Genomic DNA, 10,557 nt, shown 5'->3' with positions numbered 1-10,557 from the left:
TCAGGCTGGTCTTGAATTCCCGACCTCAGGTGATCCACTCGCATCGGCCTCCCAAAGTGCTGAGAGTACAGGCATGAGCCAGCGCACCCTGCCAAGCACACATTTTAAATGAGAAAATTGCAGCATTGTGAATCTATCTCCCAAATGATTAATAAACACCAAAACCTACATTTAAATAGAAATCTAATAAAATACTAGGAGCCAATAAACTCAGCTCTGATTATGCTGTCAGGCACTAAGACAAACCAAGGAGACTGGAGAAATCCAAAACTTAAATTTCTTTTTGTATGTGTGTATTTTTTGTAGAGATGGCATCTCACTGTGGAATTTGAGACCAGTCTGGGCTCAAGCCATCTTCCTGCCTCAGCCTCCCAAAGTGCTGGGATTATAGACATGAGCCAATGTACCTGGCCCAAATAGTTTAATTTCAAACATAGGAAATAGGTAAGTAGTTGAATTGAATTGATTATTTACCTGCCAATATATAACCAGAATGGTTTTTGCAATGTAGTTTCTAATTATGATCAGATTAATTACATTAGTGAAAAAGTAATTGAGCATCTTTTTTTCTAAAATTGCTTAATATTTATTTGAAGATAATATTTCAGCACTCCCAGCTTGTCATCAAATGCCTTTCTTAACCTCCTATTCTCAGTCTTCAGTCCATTCATTTTTTCCAGGTTCATATTTGATAAATCCTTCTGCCTTTCAGGTTCAAAACACACACACACACACACACACACACACACACACACACACACACAGAGAAAAGTGGAATTGTTAGATTTAGATTATTCATTTTTCTGCTTGATTTTCTTCTTTATGGTTTATCTCCTCATAGTAGAAGCACAACATTTATTTATTTATTTATTTATTTATTTGAGATGGAATCTCACTCTGTCACCCAGGCTGGAGTGCAATGGTGCAATCTCAGCTCACTGCAACCTCTGCCTCCCAGGTTCAAGTGATTCTCCTGCCTCAGCTTCCAGAGTAGCTGGGATTACAGGTGCCTGCCACCACGCCCACCTAATTTTTTTTTTTTTTTTTTTTGCATTCTTAGCAGAGATAGGGTTTTGCCATATTGGCCGGGCTGGTCTCAAATTCCTGACCTCAAGTGATCTGCTCGCCTTCTCCTCCCAAAGTGTTGGGATTACAGGCATGAGCCACCACGTCCAGCCTAGAAGCACAACTTTTAAAGAACTCTCATGTAAACCAGGTTCATTAAATGAGTAAGTGTTGAGTTTCAGCAGAGTCTGGATGGGAAAATATGAGAAAATCAAGAATCCAATAATCTGTACACAGAATTCCAGGCCCTCCTTGACTCATTATATCACTTCTAAAATTTAGTTATAAGTAAATAAGAGTTAACTGTACCACTGTTTATAATAATGCAAAGGTGGTTACAATCTTAATATTCAACAAGAAAGGGCTTATTAAATAAATTATGTTAAAGCAATAGAATAAAATACAGCTTTAAAATCACATTTTCTTTTTGTTTTTTTCTCTCTCTCTCTTTTTGGAGACAGAGTCTCACTCTGTCACCCAGGCTGGAGTGCAGTGGAGTGCAGAGCAAACATGGCTCACTGCAACCTCCACCTCCTAGGCTCATGTGATCTCATCTCAGCCTCCGAAGTAGCTAGGACTGCAGGAGTGCGCCACCACACCAAGCTAATTTTTATATTTTTTGTAGAGACAAGGGTCTCCCAATGCTGCCTAGGCTGGTCTTGAACTCCTGAGCCTAAGCAATCCTCCTGCCTGCAGTCCCAAAGTGCTGGGACTCCAGGCATGAGCCACCATGACCAGCCTAAAATTACATTCTCAAAATTATTTAATAACATGAGTATTGCTCACAATATGCTTAGTAAGAAAAAAATCGGCTGGCCATGGTGGCTCATGCCTGTAATCCCTGCACTTTGGGTGGCTGAGGCGGTTGAAGCACCTGAGGTCAGGAGTTCAAGACCAATCTGGCCAACATGGCAAAACCTCGTCTCTACTAAAAATACAAAAAATTAGCCAGGTGCAGTGGTGCGCACCTGTAATCCCAGCTACTTGGGAGGCTGAGACAGGAGAATCACTTGAACCCGGGAGGTGGAGGTTGCAGTGAGCCAAGATCATGCCACTGCACTCCAGCCTGGGTGACAGAGTGAGACTCCGTCTCAAAAAAAAAAAAAAAAAGAGAAAGAAACAAAGAGTCCGGGCACAGTCATTCGTGCCTGTAATCCCAGAACTTTGGGAGGCCAAGGCAGGCGGATCACAAGGTTAGGAGATCGAGACTATCCTGGCTAACACGGTGAAAACCCGTCTCTACTAAAAATACAAAAAATTAGCCGGGCATGGTGGTGGGCGCCTGTAGTCCCAGCTACTCAGGAGGCTGAGGCAGGAGAACGGCGTGAACCTGGGAGGTGGAGCTTGCAGTGAGCCGAGATCGTGCCACTGCACTCCAGCCTGGGCTCTGTCTCAAACAAACAAACAAACAAACAAATTACACTTCACACCTGAATTTACCATGATAGCCCAATTTTGTTGTTTTTTAAAAAGAGGTATAGCTATATATACATATAGAAATAGAAATAGATGGTGGGGGGCACTCATATGAGGAGATACCAAAAGTGTTAATAATGGGGAATCGCTGCTTTAATCTATATGTCACAATAAGTTACTGCCCATTTATGAATTAGCTCAAGAATCAATTAAGGGGCTCAATGAGGGGCTCATGCCTGTAATGTCAGCACTTTGAGACCCGAGGCAGGAGGACTGCTTGAGCTCAGGAGTTCAAGACCAGCCTGGGCAGCATAGGGAGACCCCTGTCTCTACAAAAAAAATTTTTTAATTAGCCTGGTGTGGTAACCTGTGCCCATAGTCCTGGTTACTTGGGAGGTGGAGGTGGGAGGATCACGTGAACCCAGGAGTTCGAGGTGGCAGTGAGCCGTGATTGTGCCATTGCATTCCAGCATGAGCAATGGAGTGAGACCATCTTAAAATAAATAAATAAATAAATAAATAAATAAAGTCTTTGTTGTGCATGTATCAGAACGCATATATCTTTTCTAGATTGTAAGCTTCTAGAGGCGAGAGAAAAAGTCTGTACAGTCACTTTGTACATCAAGACATGCCAAAAGACAACTGGGATTCTCACTATTATTCCCATTTCCCATTATTATTATTTGACACTTTTTATTATTATTTGATTATTTGATAATAATGGGAGATGATGGAATAAAGCAAAAGATCATTTTGAGACTGTAGGTGGGATTTAAATGCTAGAGAAGTGCTTCATAGGTAACATAAATAATACAATTAAAATTAAAATGCTTTACTATTTTTACTTTTTTTTCAGCTTGAGAATGCATTAGTGTTTTTTAAAAACACTCTCCTCAAACCCATTTTTCCTATTACTAAAAATCTAATTAAAAGCAGGAAAGAACAATCAAAACCAAAAGGTGATTAAAAGTAAAAAGTAATATCCTGTGACAATTTTCATGTGCCAAATATAGAACTCACATAGAACACCAAATTAAAGCAGAAACCAAATGAAATTCAGGATTCCAAATTTTTGTGCTTTAAATATATGGTTGATCTCTGGCTTGGTAAAACCAAACAATTTGCCATGAAAACAGCCAATACAAAAACCCCAAGTCTTCTTGACTAGAAGACTTCTTGAACAGAAATCAGTATATTTGTCTTAGCCTGCTCAGGCTGCTATAACAAAATACCTGGAACTGGGTAGCTTATAAAAAACAGAAATTTATTTCTCGCAGTTCTGGAAGCTAGAAAGCCTGAGAACAGGGTGTGCACCAGCAGATTCGGTGTCTGGTGAGGATCAGTTTCCTGATTTCTTAGAAGGCAGCTTCTTGCTGTGTCCTCACATGGTGGAAGGGGCAAGGAAGCTCTCTGGAGTCTCTTTTTTTGGCCACTAATTCCATTCATGTGGGTGGAGCCCTCATGACCTAATTGCCTCCCTAAAGGCCACACCTCTAAAAAACATCACTTTGGAGGTTAGGATGTCAACACATGAATTTTGGGAGGGACACAAACACACCATGACAGTGTTTTAAAGTTTCCAGTTATTATTATTATTATTTATTTATTTATTTTTGAGATGGGATCTCACTCTGTCACCCAGGTTGGAGTGCTATGGCATGATCTCAGCTCACTGCGACCTCCACCTCCCAGGTTCAAGTGATTCTCCTGTCTCAGCTTCCTGAGTAGCTGGGATTACAGGCTTGCACCACCACACCCAGCTAATTTCTGTATTTTTAGTAGAGATGGGGTTTCACTGTGTTGGCCAAGCTGGTCTCAAACTCCTGACCTCAAGTGATTCACCCGCCTCAGCCTCCCAAAGTGCTGGGATTACAGGCATGAGCCACCATGCCTGGCCTCCAGTTGGTTTTTACATGACAAATTAGTTTGTCCACTGGATCATATTGATCTAGGAAACTAGGTAATGTTCAAGTTGTGTAGGACCACCTCTATCTCCAATGTCAAGTGAGAAATTTGTCTTTTTACTTCCTGCTTTTCCTTACAATCCACCCACACAATCCCATGTCTTTCCTTACAATCCACCCATGCAGTCATCAAGCTTTCTTCACCTTCTAACCCTCAGCCATTCTCCATTAAATACCCAGGCTTTGGAAGGTTCTCTCAAATTTATTCAGCCTAAGATAAAAAGTGCTGACCAACTTAGTGAAGTGCTTATATGAAAAATATTGGCATTTGAGTAGAGGAAGTCTTGAAGCCCTCAGTGTTTCTCCACTGGGGCACTATTTGCCCTTAGGACAGAGCCATTTCCATGCCAGTAGGAACTCCGCACTCTCATCTTTTCGAAATTCAGAAACTTGGTGTAGAACTAGTGCTATCAAGTTCTAGTCTGGATTCCTGCCAATTGCTTGGGGATTTATTTATTTATTTAAGGGATATTTATTGGAGATGTACTACAAAGCCAGGCACTGTTCTGGATCTCAGAGCAAGCTTTGGTGCTCATGACTGCACAGGAATCATGACGTAAAATACATAATACACTGAAAACTTTCTTTAACAAACATTATTTGTATGCTGTTCTTTCCGATTTTCCCCCTTTACTTTCCATTTAATTTTTGAAGCAAAATCAAAAAAATAAAATCAAAGTTTAGATTTAACTTTCAAATATCTGTCTCCCCAGTCCTCTGCTTTTTTTCACATTTAAAAATATGATTTTTAGAGGTAGCTTGCCTTTTTTTCTATGTTATTTATATATAAACTTGAGACTCTTGATTACATCCCCTCTTTGGTAATTGGAAAAGAAAATGAAAGTGCCACCTGTTTGCTACCGTAATAGCATTGGTTTACATATCTCAGTTTCAGTACTTTATTTGACAGGATATTACTTTGTTCCATTAAATTGAAAGCTTCTGTTTTCATTTTGTTTCCAGTATATTAGTCATCATCACTCTGTTACCTAAGAGTTTCTTTCTAGGTAATTAAAGATCTCTTTGTATCATGCTTTAACACTGAGTTCGAAATGAATTAACCAATGGGACTTTGGTCTCCTGAGTTTGGTAACATCTGCTTTAAGGAAAGAAATTTTTCAATAAATTTTAAAAGTGTAAAAGAAAAATTTGATTATACATTTCTAATACAGCTGGGTTTATAAAGCATGCCATCTTATTAAATAATGAGAGTAATTTATAAGAAAGTATTACTAACCTCAAACGTTGGGTTAGAAACCAAAGAAGCTAACCTTCCCTCCCAAGAAAAACCCTCCTAAGAAAAACACATTAAAAGAAAATCTGGGCCAGGTGTGATGGCTCACACTTGTAATCCCAGCACTTTGGGAGGCCGAGGCGGCAGATCACCTGAGGTCAGGAGTTTGAGACCAGCCTGACCAACATGGAGAAACCCCATCTCTACTAATAATGCAAAAATTAGCCAGGCGTGGTGGCAGGCACCTGTAATCCCAGCTACTTGGGAGGCTGAGGCACGAGAATCACTTGAACCTGGGAGGCGGAGATTGTGGTTGTGGTGAGCCGAGACCGCACCATTGTACTCCAGCCTGCGCAACAAGAGCGAAACTCTGTCTCAAAAAAAAAGAAAATCTGTTTAGGCCAGGCGCAGTGGCTCGCGCCTGTAATCCTAGCACTTTGGGAGGCCAAGGTGGGCAGATCACCTGAGGTCAGGAGTTCGAAACCATCCTGGCCAACATGGCAAAATCCTGTCTCTGCTAAAAATACAAAAATTACCCAGGCATGGTGGCAGGTGCCTGTAATCCCAGATATTCGGGAGGCTGAGGCAGGAGAATCGGTCTAACCTAGGAGGTGGAGGCTGCAGTGAGCCGAGACGGCACCATTACACTCCAGCCTGGGCAAGAGCGAGACTCCATCTCAAAAAAAAAAAAAATCTGTTTAGTGCCAGGAATGGTGATGCATGTCTGTAATCCCAGCGACTCTGGAGGCTGAGGTGGGAGAATCCTTTGAGCCCAGGAGTTTGAGGCTGCAGTGAGCTATGATTGTATTACTATACTCCAACCTGGGCAACAGAGCAAGACTCTATCTCTAAAGAAAAAAAGAAAGAAAAGAAGGAAAAAATTGTTTAAGTATGTTTTAAAGTATTTATTACTGTTTATTACCATTAAAAAATGGACATCAGGACTTTACCCCTACTTTTCCTATATTTTAAATTGTGAACATGTATTCAAACTGTAAATGAAAATAACATGCTTTTATTAGGCATTTAAAATAAAATGCTTTTCATAATATGCTGGGTTTTTTCATGATATGCTGGTTGTCCCATTACTATTCTAGTAACAAGACATTACATAGATAGATATTTCAACTAATAGAAATCAAAACAGCAGTTACAAAAATAGAAGTAACCATGAAATTAATTATAGCTTGCTGTATGCTGTATAATAATAACAGAGTAAACTTATCACCCAGAATTAAAACTATAGGTCAAAAGAGCAATCTTTTGGGAGTTGGTAATCTTTAGCCATCAGTGAAAGTGTTAGAATGACACAGACCAAGGTTTGAGGATAAGTTTTAATGCTTATTGGAAGTGTGATCTTGTTTTAATAACCCTCTGAGCTGCAAGTTCTTCACCTGTAAAATCGGGACAATAGTGTCTGACTCACAGTTGTTGGGAGAATTAACATGTGTGAAGCACATAGTACACAGTACCCTATAAATGTCAGCATCATCCTCATCATCACCACCGTCCCCATCATTAGAGAAACTAAAAGCCAACTATTGGTTTAAAGGCCTAGTTAGTGGCAAAATCTTCTTGATTACATGGAAAAAAAATTAGTGCCACCAGCCAGGGTTTTTTTTCTGCTGTAAATGGTGAAGCAAAAGTTTTAGCATTATCCAACGCTCATGGATGTTCATCACTGTAAACTGTGAGCCCTCATTACAAAATACTGAAGAGCTTTCAGAATTTAAAAAAAAAAAAAAGATGAGTCAAATTATGTTCTGCTTGATGCTTGATAGTCATGGCATCACTATTTTAATTGGATCTAAAAATGTGAATGTTGGTGATTTATGCATAGTGGAAGTCCCTGAGTATTGGTCTATGACACATCCTGTCACCAGATATGATTGCTTTGTCCTACACGCTGTTGGCACAGATGAAGTTAAAGTGACCAAGATTATCACACAGGATTCAAATCCAAGTTGGCCCACCTCTAAAAGCTTTCATTATGCCACGCTGTCTCTTTGAATTTTTTCCAGGCCACTCATCTACTAGAAATCTCTCATCATTATAGAAACACAATTACAAAATGATCCAATACAATGCAGTGGTATTTTAAAGTATGGTTAGAAAAAAATGTTAAAGGAAAATAATAACCTTTAGATTTTGTTTACACAATACTTGATGACAAGTTAATCTTTGAATATCACGGATAATATCTCATTGACATATTTATGTATATGACTAAATTGAATATTCGGTTACATGGTTGTTTCTGTCACATGAAATGTACATGTATATGCATGTGTATCTGTCTGTAGGTAAATAAGGCCATGCTGCAAATTTTCTGTTTGACCCTCCAGATCACCACCCATTTCCACTCTCGTCCCTGCACTGGTAGGCTGACCTATAAGGACTACATCAATGGACTCTGTTGTTTGCTTGCTTCTAGGCAGGTTCAACTAATAGAGTACATCAGCAGGAGATGGGAGAGAAGGACAGCAAGAGTTTGAAGTATTTATTCCCCATGTCCCTCCCTAAGGTGGTCACTGTGAGAGGGCAAGGGCTCCATCCTTGACCAGACTTCAGATTGGTAAGGCCCTTGCTCTTACCAGCCCCAAGAAATTGCATCACTGTGGTTTCCCCACATCCCCCTTGCATCCTTGTAAATAGTCTCTTTATTAAGCTCTCTTGAAAATCCCTAATGTGAGTGTCCCATCTTACCTCATGTTATGAGGGTCTCTGGTTGATACAAATTCTTAACATGAATAATATAATGGACTGTATAGTTAATATTTTCATCTGCCTCCCAGATTCAATATCCTCCTTCTTCTGGTCAACCTCCTGCTTCTGTTGAGATTGTAAAACATGTGCTCCATTACACATTGCCCCACTCACTGCAAAAACCACCCCAGGATCATGGTGGGTCACTTATATTCCTACTATCCCTTAGAATAAGGATAACTTCACAAGGTGAAGCTGCACTCTAAGCCAGACTAATAAGAATTCTGTACCCAGAACTTCCCAAATTGGAGGGAAGTGGCTTGTCCTCTTCTTGAATGAATAACTGATAAATGTAACCTTGGGGCTCTCTGTGGCCATACCTCATCTTCTCAAGTAGAGCCTTCTATAGAATGGAACTCAGCAGACAACTAGGAATAAGAGAAAGATGGTGCCAAGGAGAGGGTCCTGAAGTCATTGTGCCCATTTCATTCCCTGAGCTCCTTGTTCCTGCAGCTCTCTTCTACGCCTGCCTTCACTGCTATATGAGCATACAGCATCTATAGTATATGCCCTCTGTGCTTGAACTAGTTGAAGTTTCTGTCACATGCAACTAAAAAAAAGTGCTATTGAAATAATGGTAAAAAGTATAAATTGATATGTTTGTAATATTTGAATCCCAATTGTTTTGAATAATTCAGTGATGCTGGCAAGAAATGCACTAGAAAAGTCTTGACCTGCATTTTCACCAGAGTCAACAGGACCCTTTATCACCAAGAGTCTTCAGAAAGCCTCCACTGGAATTAAGTTTTTCGTTTTTGTTTTTTGAGACAGAGTCTCACTCTGTCACCCAGGCTGGAGTGCAGTGATGTGATCTTGGCTCACTGCAACCTCCACCTCCTGGGTTCAAGGTGGTTCTCCTGCCTTAGCCCCCCGAGTAGCTGGGATTACAGATGCCTGCCATGATGCCCAGCTAATTTTTTTGTATTTTTAGTAGAGATAGTGTTTCACCATTTTGGCCAGGCTGGTCTTGAACTCCCGACCTCAGGTGATCCTCCCGCCCTAGCCTCCCAAAGTGCTGGGATTACAGGCATGAGCCACCATGTCCGGCCAGAATTCAGTTTTTCTTAGGACGTATTTTGGACATATTTCTAGTCCAGATTATTTCCTGAAGGGAAAAATGACTGGATTAGGAGAGGGAGGATGGCAGCAGGGTGGACAGAGAGGAGAGCTTCCATTTCTTCTTATTTTTAAAGTACAAGCATGGTTAGGTATTTTGGTTTTATTATTTGTTGTGGAATTTTACTTATTTATTTTTTTGGTCAAAGAGAGCCTGAATGAAGAGTAGGTAGAATAATAGAAGAAAATGTATTCTTCCAGCCAGGTGCGGTGGCTCACACCTGTAATCCCAGCACTTTGGGAGGCTGAGTTGGGCAGATCGCTTGAGCCCAGGAGTTTGAGAACAGCTTGGGCAACATGGTGAAACCCCATTCCTACAAAATATACAAGTTTTAGCCGGGCATGGTGGCGTGCGCCTGTGGCCCCAGCTTCTTGGGGAGCTGAGGTGGAAGCATCACTTGAGCCTGGGAGGTCGAGGCTGCAGTGAGCCGTGTTTGCGCCACTGCACTCCAGCCTGGGTGACAAAGTGAGACCCTGTCTCCAAAACAAAAACAAAAAGAAAAAGAAAAAGAAAATGTATTCTTCCTAAACCGAACAGCTTCCCTCCATAGGTGTGACATTGTGTGGATTCAAAAAAGCACAAACACAGCACAAAAGACAAATGGGATTACACTCCATTAGAATAATTTGCATATGCATTAACAATACATGTCACCTACTTCTCTGGCTGCAGCATTGTGAGACTAACAAAACCTTTGAAAAGATAGGAAATAGTCCATAAATATTAATAATAGTTTACCTTCCTACAATTAAAAAATAGGAAGCCAGCATAATTCACCATGTTTTGTTATACTTATCAAAGCACATCTTTTCATTAATATTCTAAATCTAGTTTTAGAGCAATTATATTATTACTGGCGAAGTAGTTTCTCTGAAGAATTTGGGACACTGAAAAAAGAATTCATAAGATTAACATAATCCCAGCACTTTGGGAGGCCGAGCCAGGTAGATCACATGAGCCCAGGAGTTTGAGACCAGCCTAGGCAATATGGCGAA

General features: G+C 40.4%; 1 protein-coding gene across 1 annotated transcript in view, besides 1 other annotated feature; it reads left to right on the top strand.

Annotated features, from left to right (window-relative positions):
• The first annotated feature begins 328 nt into the window (after positions 1-328).
• SPMIP2 (sperm microtubule inner protein 2) overlaps positions 329-10,557 on the top strand; it is a 189,752-nt gene continuing 179,523 nt past the window's right edge. The window contains exon 1 of the mRNA XM_011531671.3: positions 329-444. The gene's annotated coding sequence lies outside the window, so the exon portion shown is untranslated. The remainder of the gene's footprint in view (positions 445-10,557) is intronic.
• Positions 5,314-5,463: an enhancer, noted in NCBI's record as "active region_22089". NCBI's record gives its function as "activates an Ori minimal core promoter by ATAC-STARR-seq in GM12878 lymphoblastoid cells {active_cell/tissue: GM12878}" and the evidence as "EXISTENCE:reporter gene assay evidence [ECO:0000049][PMID:35858748]".

Source organism: Homo sapiens, chromosome 4, assembly GCF_000001405.40.
Source record: "Homo sapiens chromosome 4, GRCh38.p14 Primary Assembly".
Lineage (NCBI taxonomy): Eukaryota > Metazoa > Chordata > Mammalia > Primates > Hominidae > Homo > Homo sapiens.
This window is presented reverse-complemented; position numbering and strand designations above follow the sequence as displayed.